The 18,308-nt window shown below is 42.0% G+C and overlaps 1 protein-coding gene across 1 annotated transcript in view, besides 2 other annotated features; it reads left to right on the top strand.

Annotated features, from left to right (window-relative positions):
* The window catches only part of PSMB7 (proteasome 20S subunit beta 7), a 61,978-nt gene that overhangs the window by 4,950 nt on the left and 38,720 nt on the right, over positions 1–18,308 (top strand). The window contains exon 5 of the mRNA NM_002799.4: positions 5,061–5,176. Coding sequence (NP_002790.1) covers positions 5,061–5,176 — 116 coding nt within the window. The remainder of the gene's footprint in view (positions 1–5,060; positions 5,177–18,308) is intronic.
* Positions 9,457–9,999: an enhancer, noted in NCBI's record as "H3K4me1 hESC enhancer chr9:127162773-127163315 (GRCh37/hg19 assembly coordinates)". NCBI's record gives its function as "activates a minimal SCP1, AML or CMV promoter by ChIP-STARR-seq in naive H9 embryonic stem cells {active_cell/tissue: H9 hESC(naive)}" and the evidence as "EXISTENCE:reporter gene assay evidence [ECO:0000049][PMID:30033119]".
* Positions 10,000–10,543: an enhancer, noted in NCBI's record as "H3K27ac-H3K4me1 hESC enhancer chr9:127162229-127162772 (GRCh37/hg19 assembly coordinates)". NCBI's record gives its function as "activates a minimal SCP1, AML or CMV promoter by ChIP-STARR-seq in naive and primed H9 embryonic stem cells {active_cell/tissue: H9 hESC(naive and primed)}" and the evidence as "EXISTENCE:reporter gene assay evidence [ECO:0000049][PMID:30033119]".

The following is an 18,308-nucleotide window of genomic DNA, read 5'->3' as shown; positions in this document are numbered from 1 at the left end:
ACATTATATATAAGGCTTTTTTGAAAACTTTTTTTCTACACGATGTGTCTATGTAATAAAGGCAATTTTTAAGCTTGTAAAATTGCTGCAAATAAGATGTTTCAAGATTCTTTGTAATGTCATTTAAAACAATTAGCAAAAAAATCTAGCAAATGTTTCTGTTAATCACTTCAGAATGTTTTAAGAATCCTAACATCTCGGCTGGGCGCGGTGGCTCATGCCTGTAATCTCAGCACTTTGGGGGGCCGAGGCAGGCAGATCACAAGGTCAGGAGATTGAGACCATCCTGGCTAACATGGTGAAACCCCATCTCTACTAAAATTACAAAAAATTAGCCGGGCGTGGTGGCGGGCGCCTGTAGTCCTAGCTACAGGAGAATGGCATGAACCCGGGAGGTGGAGCTTGGCAGTGAGCCGAGATTGTGCCACTGTACTCCAGCCTGGGTGAAAGTGCGAGACTCCGTCTCAAAAAAAAAAAAAAAATTCTAAATTCTCTTTTTTCAGTGTTTTGTCATTTTTTAGTTCAAGATACTTTGTAAAAGTTAAATTTTATCAAAATTTGAGGACCATTTAAAAATATAAACCAGCATAATTATAGTCTTTTATGTCCTCTTAACATTTTTGGTGAGTTACATAAAATGAGAGTGGTATAAGGAAAGAGTTTAGGATTTGATTTTAGAACTTTGGTTCATCTCCCACCTACAGCACTGACTGTCGTATAAATTTGGGTGATTCTTTCTCAATAAAATGAGGATAATAGTTTCTGTCTATCTGACTTTTGAGGAGGACAGGAATAAAGAAGCTAGGCTCTGACCTTGCATACTACAGAGCCTACTGCGTAGTTAGAGCCCCGTAAAATTCAGTCTGAAAAAGAGTACAAGGTGTTCTTGGTACTGCTGTACTTTTTTTTTCTGAACAGCCCATTTCCTTGTATGTGAGTCAGTGAGAAAATAAGGTTTGATAAGCAGAAGTGATGTCTTTTCCCTTACTTAAGCACTGCCTTTATCTCACACCTATCCTGGCTATATGTAGTTGATGTAAGTAATGCTTGTTCTGTGAGCATGGAACCTCCTTGTTGAGTTTCATAAAAATGTTAGTGAAATGCTGTTGTGTGTTCTAGAAACTATTACTTGAATACGTAGAGACTCTTATATTGTAACTTTTTTTCTTATAAACATAATGTACATTTATTGTAGGAAATTTAGAAAATACTGAAAAGCCCAAAGAACAAAATGAAAACTTTGCCATTCAGGGAGCATCACTCTTGGTTTGGTGTATGTTATTCCAGTCTTCTGTCTCTTAAGTTCTTCCCTTCCTCTCTTCCTTTTATATTGCTAGTACATGTTCATGGTAAAAACAAAACAAAGCTGGAAGATATGAACAAAAAGAATGTAAAAAACTACCTGGATTCCTGCCACCCACGAGCAGTTAGTGCTAAGAGATTGTTACACACCCTTCAAGGTTTTAAAAATAAGTTCAGTAATATTTAGAAAATGGGATTATAGTTGTACTGACTGTAGTATAGCCTAGTCTTCTCACCTAACAGTGCATCTTGAATGGGTTCTATACTAGGGCATTTCAAAATGAAAATAACTTTTTAAAATTATAAAAATAATATAATTGTAAAAAACGTAGACACTAGAAACCTGGATAGAAGGAAGTAAATGCCACCTGATGTTCTGCCACTTAGACACATACACTGTAAATTTTTGAAGATCTGTTTTTTCATACCTTTTGTTCTAGATATATATCCTTGTATGTGTTGTTTTGTAATTTCCCTTGTTTACATAATGGTATGTTACAAATATTGTTCCTGTCAGTAGATGAGTTTTTCTCTTGAGCCCATAGAGAAGTTCTGAATACTTGTAACTCTCCTGAAATCAGAAAAAATGTTTGTGTGTACTCTTATGGGGGAAAATTTCCACAATTTTAATCAATTTTTAAGAGGGCTCTCTGACCCATAAAAGCTTAAGAACCATTAATCATTATCATAATTTTTGGTGGTGTCATAGTATCCGTTTTGTGGCTATGTTACAACTTAACCAATTTTTAAACATTAATGATATTGCCCATTTTAAGGTATTTAAGGTATTATTAGGTATTCTACGAACCTTTGGAACATAGAAGCCTTGGGTACTCATGTGATTTAATTCCTTAGCCTGTATTCTAGAATAAATGCACATTTATTTAGTTTTGCACATTTAACATTTTGAAAGATGTTGTCAAAGCTCTCCCTTGACAAACGTTGTACTACCGTCAGTAGCGCAGGAGAAAATGCAGCATGGTTGTTAAATTTTATTTTAGTTTAGATAGGGTCTCTTTCTGTTGCCCAGGCTGGAGTGCAGTGGCATGATCATGGCTCACTTAAAGGCAGTGCATGGTGGATGACTTGAGCCTTAAAATTCTAGGCTCAAGTCATCTGCTCGCCTCAGCCTCCTGAGTAGCTGGGACTAAAGGCCCACGCCACCATGTTTGTCTAATTTTTTGTTGTGTTTGTTTTTTTAAACTTTTTGTAGACGATGTCTCACTATGTTGCTTAGGCTGGTCTCAAACTCCTGGCCTCAAGTAATCCTCCTACCATGACCTCCCTAGGTTTTGGGATTACAGGTGTGAGCCACCACACTCGGCTTAGCATGATTTTTAATGATTGGGTGATGTTCTGTTGTACAGTTGGATCAGTTTAGCCATTTCTCCCTGGCTGTTTCCACTTTTTTAATCATCATAAACAATGCTGTTGTAAACATCCTTGTGCATTCATTTCTGTACATTTGTCTGTTTATATCCTTAGAATAGAGTCCTGGTAGTAGAATTTGTGGATCAATAAATTATTAAAATTTTAATGACTTCAATAATTTGCCAAAACATCTTGATTATTTTAAAGGCATCTAACAGTTGATATTTTAGCTTAGAAGGCAAGTAGCTGATTATTATTAACTTTATTTAAACACCCTGTTCAGTAGACAGTTGGCATAGTGGAATAGGCACTGGACTAGTTGGGGGTGGTGGGACTGGCGATTGTGGCTTCTCTTCCTGGAGCCCTTGGCCCTAGTCTGACCCTGCTGCTAGCTCACACGTGGGGCCTTGGACCAGTTTCTTCCCTTGTCTGGGGCTCTATTCTCTTTTTAGGCTACTGCTAAAATCTTTTCCTAGGAAGTTTTTGAAGTTTTTACTTACAAATGAAATAACAATTTGGTAATCAAGGAACAGGGCAAGTATTGGACCACTGTTCTGTTTACTTAGAGCACTTCTGGATGTGTGGCCATGTCTCAGACAGTCTAAAGTTATGACTTTGGTTCTCATGTTAATTTATTTGTATTTTAATGATTACATCGTTTGGCAAATTCAGTATGTGTCAGTTTTGTTTTCCTTCCCAAAGAGCTAAAGGCTCACAGTGGAGAACTTTAAATCCAGCATGTTTATCTAGCACAGCTAGATAAATTGAGAGCAATTTATGTTGACAAATGTAGATCTAATTCTTCTTTTGATTTTTTTTATTTTTTATTTTTTGAGACTAAGTGTCACTCTGTTGCCCAGGCTGGAGTGCAGTGATGCGACCTCGGCTCAGTGCAACCTCGGCCACCCAGGTTCAAGCGATTCTCATGCCTCAGCCTCCCACGTTAGGAGTAACATTGGCCTCCTAATGTTAAAAAGCTGTACCAAATACAGGGAAAGGAATCTATAGAAATGGAAAAAAAGGGTCCAAAGGAACAAATATGTGCACAATTAAGTGGAGATGGTGTGGGTGGAAAATATATTCCTGTGATGTTCCTGAGGAAGTGTAAGTTTATCCTATGTGTAGTAGCAGTGGTTTCTTAGGCTATCATGGAGTTATTTTAATATTCACTTTCCTGAATGATGAAATACTTTTTTTTTGATACGAGTTCATATATGTAATTATAATATGGGTTAATTCAAAGGCAGAGGTGTTTCGACATGAGCCATTTTTCTGTTTGGGCTGTGGTGAGGTTGATACTTTTTTTTTTTTTTTTTTTTTTTGAGACAACTCTTGCTCTGTCCTGGCTGGAGTGCAGTGGCGTGTACATGGCTCACTGCAACCTCTGCCTCCCAGGCTCAAGGGATCCTCTCACCTTAGCCTCCCAAGTATCTGGGACTACAGGTACATGCCACCATGCCTTGCTAATTTTTTGTATTTTTTGTAGACAGGGTCTCGCCATATTGCCCAGGCTGGTCTTGAACTCCTGGACTCAAGTGATTTGCCCACCTCAGCCTCCTAAAGTGCTGGGATTATAGGTGTGAGCCACCATGCCTGGCCTTTGTGGCCAGGTTGATAATTTGAACAGTGGAACAGCTGAGCTTAGCACCTCCTCATTGTTAACTGTGGAGGTAGCTTATGTGCTGATCACAGAGAGGTGTGATGGGAAAAGTGCTGATAATCTTTGGAGTCAGTCCAATTTGGTTCTGAGACCGGGCAAGTTCTTAATGTCTCTGGGTTGGTTTTTTCTTTTCTAAAATGGGAATGATAATGTTGTCTTTTAAAGGGGACTGTGGGCTGGGTGTGGTGGCTCACACCTGTAATCCCAGCACTTTGGGAGGCCAAGGTGGGAGGATTGCTTGAGTCCAGGAGTTTGAGACCAGCCTGGGCAATTTGGCGAGACGCCATCTCTCCAAAAAAAAATACAAAAATTAGCCAGGTGTGGTGGTGCACACCTGTAGTCCCAGCTACTTAGGAGGCTGAGGTGGGAGGATTGCTTGAGCCTGGGGAGGTTGAGGCTGCAGTGAGCCGTGATAATACCACTGTACTGCAGCCTGGGTGACAGAGTGAGACCCTGTCTCAAAAAAATAATAATAATGGGGGCTGTGAGGCTGAGCTGAAATCAGGTGTGTGGAGTGCCTCACATAATTTATAGTTTATACTGGCTGACAGTAGATGTTCATCTAATGTTCCCTTCCCTTTTTTGTTCCCATCAAAACAATAACCCCTTAATGAAACAGTCTTAAGGAAAACTTTTTGTTACCTGACTTCTCATGCAACTTTTGGCTAAGTTACAGTGATGCTTTGTGGACTCATGTTTTTTTTCTTATGCATACTCTGATCACCAGGTATCAAGGTTACATTGGTGCAGCCCTAGTTTTAGGGGGAGTAGATGTTACTGGACCTCACCTCTACAGCATCTATCCTCATGGATCAACTGATAAGTTGCCTTATGTCACCATGGGTGAGTGTAACGTTTTCCTGATGTTTAAGAGTACTCTTACTTACCACGATGGTCTCTTGAAGAGCTGGTCTGTTTTCTCTTAGAAGAGGAGGTGCAATACAATGCTTTGATTCATTCAGCAAATATATACTGAGTTCCTACTATAGATTAGGCCGTGTTCTAGGTGCTTGCTATATAGCAGTCAACACAATTCTGATAGTGATTCCTGCTCTCGAGGATTTTGTATTTTAGTGAGGGTAAATAGACAATAAACAACTGTGAGAAGTATATTTATAATACACAGGTATTCTAAATTAATACACAGGTATTATAAATATATATAAATATACACAGGTTATACAACCTGTGTATTATGAATATATTTTTATAGTCTGAAATCTGAAAAGCTCCAAAATCCTAAAGTTTTTGAGTGCTAACATGATACTCATTGTAACATTTTTATTTTTATTATTTTTTTCTTTTTTGAGATGGAGTTTTGCTCTGTTGCCCAGGCTGGAGTGCAGTGGCATGATCTCGGCTCACTGCAACCTCTGTCTCCCGGGTTCAAGTGATTCTTCTGCCTCAGCCTCCCAAGTAGCTGGAGTGATAGGCACACGCCACCATGCCCGGCTAATTTTTTGTAGTTTTAGTAGAGATGGGGTTTCACCATGTTGGCCAGGCTGGTGTCAAACTCCTGACTTCAAGTAATCTGCCCACCTCGGCCTCCCAAAATGCTTGGATGGATTATAGGCATGAGCCACTCTGCCCAGCCTCATTGGAGCATTTTTGATTCTGGATTTTTGGATTAGGGATGCTGAATTGGGTGAGTTATAATGTAGATATTCCAAAACCTGAAATCTGAAACACTTCTGGTCCCTGGCATTTTGGATAAGGGCTACTCAGCCTGTATTAGAAAGTGATACTAAGAAAAAAAGTAATACAGATGATATTGTACTATAGTTACACAAGATACTATCTTTGAGAGAAACTGAGTCAACTTCATATGGAAATGCTCTATTTTTTACATCTGCATATGAATTTGCAATGATCATAAAACAAAAAATTAAATTCACACATGATAAGGGGACTTGGGAGTTGTGGGCAGGGGCTGGGGTGGAGGCAGATGGCAGTGTTAAATAGAAAGATCAGGGCCAGGCACGGTGGCTCATGCCTGTAATCTAGTGCTTTAGGAGCCTGAGGTGGGAGGGTTGCTTGAGGCCAGGAGTTTAAGACCAGCCTAGGCAACATAGCAAGACCCGGTCTGTGCCACATATATATATAAGCTGAGTGTGGTGGTGTGTGCCTGTAGTCCCAGTTGCTTGGGAGCCTGAGGCAGAAGCATTGTATGAGCCCAGGAGTTTGAGGTTGCAATGAGCTGTGATCAAGCCATTGTACTACATCTTGGGCAACAGAGTGAGACCCTGTCTGTTTAAAAAAAAAAAAAAAAAAAATGTCAGGACAGGTCTTATGAAGAAGGTGAGATTTGAGTAGAATTCTAGAGTAGAAGCCTTACATTGAAACTTGGCAGGTACATTTTGACCTAGAGGAGTGATTGTGGTCCTTCTTTACTACTTAATCTCTGAGGGATTGGGGTATTTGATTTCTATCTGAACCTCAATTTCCTTACCTGTGAAGTGGTATTGGTAATACCTACCACACCAAGTTGTAATGGTTGGAAATAACGTATATAAAGCATGTGCTCCAATGCCTGGCCTGTAAATAGTAGTTATTTTTTTGCCCCCTCTCTTCCTCATTTGCTAACCAGCTTTTTGCATTTATGTTTTAGCTCTAGCTGCTAGATTAGGAGATTTTTTGACAGGCTCTCACTCTGCTGCACAGGCTGGAGTACAGTGGTGCAATCACAGCTCACTGCCACCTCGACTTCCCCGGGCTCAGGTGATCCACCCACCGCAGCCTCCTGAGTAGCTGTGACTACAGCCATATTCTGCCACACCCATCTAATTTTTGTATTTTTTGTAGAGATGGGATTTTGCCATGTTGCCCAGGTTGGTCTCGAACTCCTGGGCTCAGGTGATCTGCCTGCTCCAGCCTCCCAAAGTGCTGGGATTACAGGTGGCTGATAATTTTTTTTTTTTTAATGACTGCAAAAAATAGTGATAAAATTATATTTAGAAGAATTGGGATTTTCAAGTTCTAACATTTACATTATTGCTTCTGGGTCAAATTGCATAGGTCCAGAAATTCGAACAGGTTGTGTGTATCGTGTAGCTGGTGTTTTTCCAGCTGTCATTTACCTCTTAATATTTTCTGTCTTGGTGTCTTGGCTCCACATCTAGGAAAACTGCTGCCTTGAGTAGTTTGGAAATTGCCAGTTTGAGACTTTGCTATGCCATTGTGTTGTTATCTAGCCTCTTACAAGGTTTTTATATAACAGATGTTCACTGTTTGTTGGGGAGAATGATTTATCCCCAGATACCATACGGATGAATCTTTGCAGTTATTCTAAAATGAAGATACTTATGGTAATTTTAGAATTGTTCTGAATTGCTTTATTCAAAGGTATTAGGTATCTCCATCAAAGTATTGCTTTTATTTCTCCCCATCTGATACCTTTAAATGGTGGTAAAGGTGGAATAACCTTTTCTATTAAGTAGTTTTTATTTTTTCTTTTTTTTACTTAAATTTCAGACTTGCAGAAAAGTAACAGTAACGTTCAACAAACACTGATCTGTCCTTTACTCAGATGTGTCAGTTGTTAGCATTTTGACACATGTGTTCTGCCTCTCACACACACATTGTTATTCCTATCATTGTTTCGTGTGCGTGGGGAACCATTTGAGGGTAAATAGCAGGCACCACAGCCTTTCACCTCTGAATCCTTCAAGATGTTCTCTTCTGTCACCTTGATAAAGTCATCAAATTTAAGAAGTTTGACATTGATACAAAGCAGCTTCATTTGTAAAATGGGAAAATTGGTTTCTCTTGCCAGTGAACTGTGGTAATTTGTGTCATGAGCATAAAGCTGAATTAGGAAAAGTTGTTGAAAGTGAGTAGGTAAACAGCTTTGTGTCTGCCCATTTTACTTCTGCCGCCCAACTTTGTGCTTTTTCCTGGCCAAGAGTGACCTCCTGTCTGTCCAAGTCTCATTTGAGTTCCGGGTGATGGGTCCACAGCTCTTGAGTTTATAGAATAATTCTATTTAGAAACCACTGACTCCACACAGACTGGTTTTGCTGCCCTAAAATGCCAGATTAAGGAGAATGAGACATCAGTAACATCTGATTTTAATACCCAAGTAAATTGTTACTTTGAGGTCTTGTTTGTTCCTCCACTCATTTATCAGCTTTTTTTTTTTTTTGAGACTGAGTCTCGCACTGTCACCCGGTCTGGTGTGCAGTGGCATGATCTCTGCTCGCTGCAACCCCTGCTTCCCGGGTTCAAGTGATTCTCCTGCCTCAGCCTCCCGAGTAGCTGGGACTATAGGCATGCACCACCATGCTCAGCTAATTTTTGTATTTTTAGTAGAGAGGGGATTTCACTGTGTTGGCCAGGCTGATACGGAACTCCTGACCTCGTGATCTGCCGGCCTCTGCCTCCCAAAGTGCTAGGATTACAGGTGTGAGCCACTGCACCCGGCCTCATCAGCTCTTTAGTGAGTGCCTTCTGTGTAAAGGCACTATAGCAGGCAGCACAGATAGAAGTGAATATCAGGGTCTTTGTCCTCAGATACTCAGTCTAATGGGGGAGACAGATGTACCTACTGACGAGGGCAGGAGGGGACCCAAGGGAGAAAAGGTCACTTCCAAGCTGGGATAATTCAGGAAGAACTTCACTTGAGCCGAGTCTTAGAAGGAGGATTGGATCTCTTCATTCATTTGTCTGATGTGTATTAAGCATCACTAGTGCGGAGCACTTTGCTAGGAGCTGGGAAGATTAGTGGTTAACACAGCGTCTGCCTCAGAGCCTATAGTCTTGTGAGGGAGACAGGTATTAGACAGGTAAATTCACATGAACCTAGAAGAATGCATTGTGATAAGTGCCCCAGAGGAAAAGAACAGTCATTAGAGAGGATAATAGGAAGGAGTGTGTGGCTGGTGGGTGTTTGTGTAGTCCTTTCTGAGCAAGTGACATTCAAGCATTTTCTACTGAACATAATTTATGAACATGACAGAACATTCAAGTGGGACAAAGAACTATAAGAAAAGTCTCCTTCACATCCCTCCAGAGTAACCACTGTTAAGAATTGTTTGTATTTTTTTCCAGAAAATGTGTTATGATAAACTTTCACGTATCTCCTTCTCTGTCATCTAGTTACCCCTTTAAAAAAAACACACAAATGAGCTCATGCTATACATAATATTCTTCCCTTACTATTAACTCGTTTTGAAGAAGTGTTTATATCAGCTTACGTGGGCCTATAGAATTTCTGTAATAATAGCAAGCTGTACAGAATTGTATTATGTGGCTACACCATGCTTGCTGACCCATTCTTCTTCTGATGAACATCTTGTTTTTCATATTTTGGTAACAAATGTGTCTTGGTCTACTTGTATAAATACGTACTTCATTTAGATAAATTCTTAGCAGTGGAATTTCTGGATTAAGGTGTACACGTTTCGGCCAGAATTCTCTGTTGCAAGCAGTTGAGTCACTGGATGATTTAAGGAAGAGAGGGATTTTTGAGAAAAGTATAGCAGGTGGCTCACAATGTAGTTGGGAGGGCAAGAACTGGGTTTGGGGCCAAGAACAGTGTCTCAGTCTATGCTGCGGGCACAGCTGGTGCCGGACCCTGGCTGCCACAGAACTGAGCCTTCCTGCCATCCCTTCCACCACCAGAGAGTTCCTCATGGGGAAGGTGGGTGCTTCTGATTGGTGAAGCTCAGCCTCAGCTCAGATGGCAGTGGAATTCTCCGGACAGAGGCAGGAAATACAGCTGCTGGGCAGCCCAGAAAAGGGACAGTGCATTTTACCTTTTGAGAGCTATTGCCAAATTGCTGTCCAAAAAGCTGGCACGAGTTTATACTCCCACTAGAGAATACAAGGACGCTTGTCTCCCACCACCTCACGGATGCTGAGTATTTTTGCCAGTCTGATGGGTGAAAGTGGGAAGAAAGAACACTTAAACGCCTGAGGGATGAGTAGGAATTTGCAATGCACCCCTTACCCCCGAGGGATAGACCTCAGGCCTGTGGTGCACAAGGGCTCCGTGTGGTTAAGCACTGAAAGGCCAGAGTTTGCTGCATGGGTGCGGCAGGAGCAGTGAGTGGGGGTGGGGCAAGGGACCCATGCAGGGGGTGCAGCAGAAGCAAAGATGGGGAGGGTGGAAGAGGGATGGATGTTGGGAGTTTGGAGCAGAGGCAAGGCTGGAAAGCAGGCCTCGGGGGTCCAGACGCTGCAGGCAGAGCTGTTTTGATTTTGTCCTGGAGGTCTCCTGCTCTTTCAAGCCAGGGAATGAGAGGATTAGGTTCGCTTGTTAGAAGGAGCAGCTGACAGCTGTGGGGAGCAGTGGCGTGAGAGGCCTGGGGCAGGGAGGGAGCTTGCATCCTGGCCAGAAATGTTGAGGGTGAGGACGAATCCAGTGGTGGTGGCGGTAGGGATGGCCACTGTCATTACAGAGACCTCTCAGACAGCAGCTAACCCCTGGGCCACATCCTGGGTTTCTGTCGTCATTCTCTCCTGGCGTTCCTCAGCGCCAGCTCCTTGCGGCTCTTGGCTGCAGTGTTGCAGTCACGCCTTCATTTGGGGCCATCTCCCTTTTCAGTTGGGCTCTAGGCCCTTTTTCTCATCTCATTTCCTGTTCTTCCTTCCCTTGTGCCCTGGGCTTCAGTGGCAGCAGCCCCCTCGCCCTCCTCTGAAGAGAGCCTAACAGCTGTTGCTGCCTCCTTTCAGAAACACATTTTCTGCCTGGAGTGTTCCTCCTCCTCATCCTGAGTGTGGCCCAGAAGCCATTCCCTCCTGGCTGCCCCTGGCGGAGTTAGCAAGTCCCTGCCAGGAGTGAAGCAGGATCCCAGGACTCCCGCCTTGGCCCCACTTTGCTTCCCCTAGGCATTGTCCCTCCTGCCCCTGCACAATTCTAGACCTCTGAGAGCAGCTTCTGTGCCTCACTCTCAGGGTCTCACGGAGCCCTGTGCAACTCAGTGAATATTTGATGGTGAATTAATTTTCTGATTCTCCAACTTGTTTGTGCTAAAGAATGTCTGAAACTTAGTGTTAGAAACCTTAGCCGCTGTTCATTGTTTGTGAACTAGCAGTTTGCAGCACCCCTGGAATGCAGTTGGTTTAGATTGTGTTCCATTTGTGTGGTCCCAGTTTAGCTGTAAAGTGTTGTAAATGTGACAGGTCCTTTTACTTTTTTTTTTTTTTTTTTGGTTAAAGCTTAGTATTATTTTGAATTTAAAGCATATTTATGGGAATGTCTCTGTGCCAGAGTCTGCTGGGTGCTGGCACATTATTTTCAGTTAAAATTCAGTGTAAGGGATGCTATTATTGCTATTTTACTGACGAGAAACCTGAAAGTTAGAGAGATTTAGCAACTTACCTAGTGTCACTCAGCCCCATAAGTGACAAAGCTGGGATTTGAACCCTTGTCTTCCATCTCTGGCAAGCCCCAGTACAACACAGCTGCTGTGATTTTATCATCCTACAGATGTGATTTCACTTAGCTATTAAGCCTTGCTTCTGAATACTAAAAATATTTATACAGATTCCCGAAGGGCACTTACTGGATTTTGTATTTTTGACTGTTCTCTGCATAGGTTCTCTGTCCTGCATGTTGAAAACAGTATTTACTGAAACAGCCTTATTGCAGCAAAGGAAATTAAACTATATATATGCATATATATCTCCACAATTTTACTACCCAAAAACAACGTGATTTTTACTTTTTGTTTCTTTCCAATCCAAGTCCATTGTGAAGAGGAGCTCTTTACAGAGAATGTAAGATCACGGTTTTGTACTCGCCTGGGCTTTGTCTCTGTGGCTCTCTTAGTTTCTTTCAGCCATTGTTCCGTGGTCGTAGCTGTGCAGGGCTGGCTTTCTTCCTAATCTGAGTTTGATTTTTGTTGTTTTGTCTCTTTTTTCTTTCCCTAACCTTCTTTCACCCCTCCCCTCCCTGCCTTCTTTACCCTTTCCTTTCGAGGGAGTGAGGAGTTGGGTATTGAGAGAGAACTCAGAATTGCTAAAATTTGGTGGTTTTTTTTTTTTTGAGATGGAGTCTCACTCTGTTGCCCAGGCTGGAGTTAAGTGGCTCGATTTTGGCTCACTGCAGCCTCCACCTCCTGGGTTCAAGTGATCCTGCCTCCGCCTCCCAAGTAGCTGGGATTACAGGCGTGTGCCTATAATTAGCCACGCCCTGCTAATTTTTGTATTTTTAGTAGAGACGGGGTTTCACCGTGTTGGCCAGGCTGGTCTTGAACTCCTGATCTCAAGTGATCCACCCGCCTCGGCCTCCCAAAGTGCTGGGATTACAGGCATGAGCCACTGTGCCTGGCTGGATTTTGTTTTAACTCATGCTTATTATTTTGAGTGAGCTACAAACCAAACCTCACACTCCAGATAAAATAGAAGGTCCTCCTAAATGAAATGCCTCCATGGAACATTAGCATTCACTGTGGAATCAAGGCTTTCTGTAATTGTAGCTTAAGTGAGAAAATGAATATTTCATCTGAATTCTCATGTTTTAGTTAGATTGTGAGTTTTTTATTATGAAGAATAAAAGCAAAACTTTGTAATTAATCTTTTTTTTTCTTTTTTCTGAGTGATTTGACAGTAAGAGCTGGAAGCTATAAATTAACCAGAAGACAAGGGTGTCTAAATTTTGTCTACCCATGGGCCTGTATTGGCTACTAGCCAGGCGCCTGAAGGCTGCTCTTAATTTACATTGAATAGAAGACACCTGTCTTGTCTTGCGCATCTTTAACTTGAGGCACAGCTGATCTGCATTGAGCGCTGGGTCCAGGAGCAGGACTCTCTGAGGACTGGCCTTCCTGAGAGTTTATTTGGGAGACTAATATATCAGACTCCTGGTGGTGTGGCCCCTGGACAGTTTCTGCCCTAAAACCTTCTTTGTGAACATCACATTGACTACAATGAGAGCAGCGTTCATCCAGCTGTAGCACCTACACCTGTTGTGGGATGCTTTACTGATACAATCTTTGCACCACTGTGAGGTGGGTGCCATCATCCCTGTCTTAAAGATGAGGAAACTGAGGCTCAGAGAGGTTACTTGAACCACAAGTAAGGAAGTATGTGAGTGAGAATGGGAACCTCAGTTTCTGACTTTTTCCTGTTGGTACATGGCATGTGGCTTATTCTCCAAAAAGAAAAAGGATCCCGTCGGTTTCATTTACTTCTTTTTTAAGAGAGTAATTTGGAAGAGGCTACTGGTGATCGATTCATTTGATTGTTAAAAGCTAGGCAAGATTTTTTGACTTTATTAGGAAAGGGAAAGCATTTTAGTTATGTTTTTATAGACATAATGTGGGTTCTTTTAATTCTCAGATTAATTAGCTTATTCTTTGAACTTGCCAGCTTTTCTTTATTAGGCAAGCTGAAGTAGTGTCAGAAGAAGCTTGGGGACCATCTTTTGCTATTAGCTTGGCAGTGTTCCTTGTAGCAGCATTGGCAAGGTATATAAAATTTTTGTTTTTGCCTGCTTATCCACATAGAGAATTAACATGAATAAAATTTCAAGCATGACATTCCTGAAAATGAGGTCCTTGGACAATTTAGGAATACTGACTTAAGGAATAAACATTGCTATGCACCATTAGGAAAGACTTGGGGTCACTGCCAGGGCCATCCAGGTAGAATTCTCTCTCCAGATAAACTGGTTATACAGTTTCCTAATTACTGGAATGCACCTACTAAGTCCCAGTTTACAGGGCCTCTGAGCAGTGAGAAAGATGTGGGACAGAGTAGTAAGCATGCTGGATGTCTCACCTTGTGGGCAGAAGAATCTTACAATTAAGTGAGAACTTAGGAACATGGATAGGGAGTTCAGATTTGCCATCGTTACGCTAAAGTACAGCCTTTTCTGTATTTTTACACTAAAGTACAACCTTTTCTGTATTTTTATGCTAAAGTACAACCTTTTCTGTATTTTTATACTCAAGTACAACCTTTGTATAGATATTTTGATACCTCCACATGACTTGATTTTGAAAGTTGTCCTGCACAGGATCAAATTAGTGCACTTTAAGATGGCAAATGTTTCGTCTATATTCATTTTCAACTGTTAAATTGGGTGCAAATTTAGCAGCATGTTTACTTCATAAAAACCTCAGAGGGCACGTATATATGGACTTCATAGCCGTGTGTTGCTGGAAATTCTTCTGCCTGCTCTGGGGTCAGCCATGTGGTTGACTGTGTATAAGAGGCTTTAGAAGCATGTGTCTCCATAGGAACTGGATTGCCCCTGTGTCCCTGCTCTCCGTGGGCCAGGGGCTGGGCAAGGGAGGAGCTGTGCTGGTGTAGGAGACCCTATTCCAGCAGGAGCTTTGTCCACACAGCCAGTGACTGCCTTTTCTGAAAACCCCTGAATGAAGTATCACTTAGGATTCTAGAAAAAGAGGTGGAAGCCCTTGCTTTGGTCCCAGCTCTGCTTGACCAGAGAGCCTAGTCACCTAACCTCTGGAACCTCATAACCCCTATTTCTAAAATGAAGCTACTTTTTTTGACTTGGGAAGGTCACAGGGTTATTGGGGTGCTGAAGCGTCGCGTTTTATGTGTGCACGCTCTGTACATCACTGTGTGCTTTTTATGTGGATATGTTGCTTTTGGCCATTTTTTGAGGCAGTGTGGCTGCATGAAAACTGGTTTTTGAAGTCAAATAGGGTTCAGATCTTTTTAAAAAATAATAATTAACTTATTTGTTTTTATTTTTTAGGGGCGGGGTCTTGCTCTGTCGCCAGGCTGAAATGCAGTGGTGTGATTATAGCTCATTGTACCCTCAAACTCCTGAGCTCAAGTGATCCTCCTACCTCTGCCTCCCAAGTAGTTGGGACTATGGGCACACCACTACTGATTTTTTTTTTTTTAATTTCTTTCTTTTTTTGGTAGAGACGGGGTCTCACTGTGTTTTTCGGGCTGGTCTGGAACTTCTGGTCTTAAGTGATCCTCCTGCCTTGGCTTCCCAGAGTGCTGGGATTATAGGCATGAGCCACTATGCTTAGCCTGGGTTCATATCTTAAGTCTAACATTCATTTAGCTGTTTGACTGTGAACATTGATTTCTTCTGTAATGCTTACTTCATGTGTGAGCATGAAGTGAGATACCAAACATAAAAGTCTTTTGTATGTAGCATGTAGTAGATGTTTGGTGCATAGTATTTTGATAGTTTTAGTGTCAATACATTTTTCTGTGTGTAGCTCTCTGTGTCAAGATTTCTCTGGCACTTTTTCCTGCTTTGATTAATATAAGATGCATTTTAGAAGATTTAAAATGTGCAGTGAATGGATTTTATATCTTAAAATTATGTTGCGGTGGAGTGCCAGGAATAAAACAGCTGGGAACCAAAAGCCCGTGAAAGTTGAATGAATGCATCTTGTTTCTTGGTTGCTGCAAAGGTGGTACTAAGCCAATAGATGGTGCCGTGATATCAGGAAATGAGAAAATACTTACTTCTAAAATTCATATTGTTACAGGAAATGTAATATAGTCAGCCCTTGCCAGTTCTTAATTTATTCTAATTAGATTGGATTTTGTTCTTGATTCTGTGTAAAAAAATATTAAACACCTTTTATAGACAAAATGGTGAGGTATTGAATTAATGTATGGGTGCTCTTCCTCCTTTTTTCCCTGCTCTGACATTTTACCACAAAGTCTCCTGATTTGAATTGTCCTCAGCCTACAACCAAGTAAAAGCCCTTGCCAGAGCACTTTTCAGAACAGTTAAAGGAAATGCTCAGTTTAAAGTTCTTTGCTTTAAACCCCACTGAGAGAGAGTGAGGTTAACCAGCTCATCTTTATCTGCTCTTGTTTCAGAATTGGACCAGAGTCGCCCCTGCTAAAGGAAAGTGCCTTTATATGCTTATGACCTAGTGCTTGATGCCTTTTACTTCCTCATTGGTCAGACTACGTGGAAAGTCATCTTAGCCATCAGAAGGCTTTTCACTGTGTAGTTCACAGAATGAGGGATTTGCTGTTAACCAGATCTGAGTTCATGTACCCATGCTGCCATTCCTGGCTGCATGACTTTGGGTAGCCTCCTTCCTTTCTGTGAACTTTAGCTTCTTCCATCCATACAATGAAAATAATACTGTCTAGTCCATCAATTAAAGTGGAATGCCCTGAAGTTTGGGAAGTTATTTTGAAATATGGACCTGAGTAAAGGGGACCTTTAAGAGACTTGCCAGCTCCCACTGCCCTGCGTTCCTGCGGCAGCAGGGCAGGGTGTATGCCTTGCACTCAGCTTCGGTTTCCCGGTGTGGCCTCGTGGTGCAGGGGACTGATTAAGATAGGTGCATTTTAGGGTCATTTTCGTCCTCCATTTTGTCCTCTAAACAGGGGTAGGTGACACCTATGTTTTAAGGAAAAAATGTTCTCTCTCCATATCTTGTGACATTTCATTAAAATGCATTAATGAAATAAAACCTCTCACATTTTAGGCCCTGATGCCGTGATTGTTAGTCTTTTCTGAAGAATAAGTGTTTATAACCTGTCAGGTCAATGAGATGTTGCAGTTGCAATTATAAGAAAAATCCCTTTTCCCTTCAAGTGGTGTTTTAAATTATTAGGGTAAAATGTAACTCCTCTTTGACTATATTACATTTAGAAAAGGAACTCCGTTTTTTGAGGAATTAGCTTTTGAGTGAAATTGTTGGATGCCTTACAAATATTTTTAGCAAATTAAATGGAATACTTTTTTAAATTCATTGGGAATAAAAGGTAGACTTTGACATTGAGGTACATTTGCTGATGAAAAGGAAGCATTCTTCTCCCTCATGAGGGGTTTAAATGTAATACTCAGTGCTTACTCAGGAGTGAAAACATCAAATTAAACTGTTTATGCTGACAAAGGACAAATCTGGATTTCAGCAAGCGATGCAAGATTGTCTGATTGCTTGGCTTGCCTCGCCGGGAAGCTTTTGGCCAGGACTTATAATGAAATGCATGCATACAATTAAACCATTTAAAGCCTGCGTCTGTTTTACCGAGCAGTGAGAGGTGCTCCACTGCTCTCTAGTGGCTGGATATGGTCCCCTGGTGCCCGCCTTATTTTATATTCATCAATCAGCTCTGCACACATTGGCATTGTTGGCCTCCAGAGCAAGCACCAGTACTAGGAGATGAGGCCTTGGAGGCAGGAATGGAGTGAAAAATGATCCCAGTCTGTGGGTCTGTGGAAAGCACCAAATTTTACCCAGGATGAGTGGCCAGTTGACTAACAATGAGCAAGTGTGAGTAAGCGCTCTGTCAGGGAGAGCTGACACTGATGGATTAGAAAGTCCTGTGTGTGACTCTGTTATCGCCGCATACATCTTACACCTTGGCAGGCCATGGTGGCAAACAGGTCCTTGGCTGCTTAAAATGGACCGCTCTTTAGCAGAAGGAGCAGCTTTTTTTCCTGAGACGATCTGGTTAAATTGATTTGGGGAAAAGCAGTAGAAATCCATTTCCTGCTGCCTCTCATAACTTCATGACTTTGAGAAAGAAATTCTGAAGACCTCTATTTCCATGAAAGCTGCCAACCCTGGGACTTGCTGAGAGTGATTGTATAAAATAGCTGCCTGGAGGACCAGGAGCTTGTCGGAGAGGAATTTCATCAGCCAGCTTTTCTTGAACTTTTAGTGTCCCCAGCATTTTGCTTTACACGTGCCATCTTGTGTAACCCTCAGAGCCACCCTTTGAGGAAGGCACCTCCTGTCCCCTGCCCTCTTGTGCGGGGAAGGAACCTAGTTCAGTAGGGCTGCTGTGCCCCTCGGTTTCCGGTTGCATCATTCACGCTGTGCTTGATGCAGTTGCTTGTGCCTCCTGGAGCAACTTTGGCAGCTTTGCAGAGCTCGGAGTGATATGCCCAGCTAGGGAGCGCCAGAGCCGGGCCACCTCTTGTGCCTCTTGGTGTTCCCAGAGCCTGCTGCTCCTGCGTGGGCACCTGGGAATGGGTTGTTTGAAGAAAGAGTGGGAAGTTGCCCTTCTGAAGGGTGCATGAGCTTGAGAACCCATGCTTCAGAATAGGACCTAGGTTTAAAGC

Source organism: Homo sapiens, chromosome 9 (genome assembly GCF_000001405.40).
Source record: "Homo sapiens chromosome 9, GRCh38.p14 Primary Assembly".
In the NCBI taxonomy this organism is placed as follows: domain Eukaryota; kingdom Metazoa; phylum Chordata; class Mammalia; order Primates; family Hominidae; genus Homo; species Homo sapiens.
The sequence above is the reverse complement of the archived record's forward strand: the minus strand, read 5'-3'. Positions and strand labels throughout refer to the sequence as shown.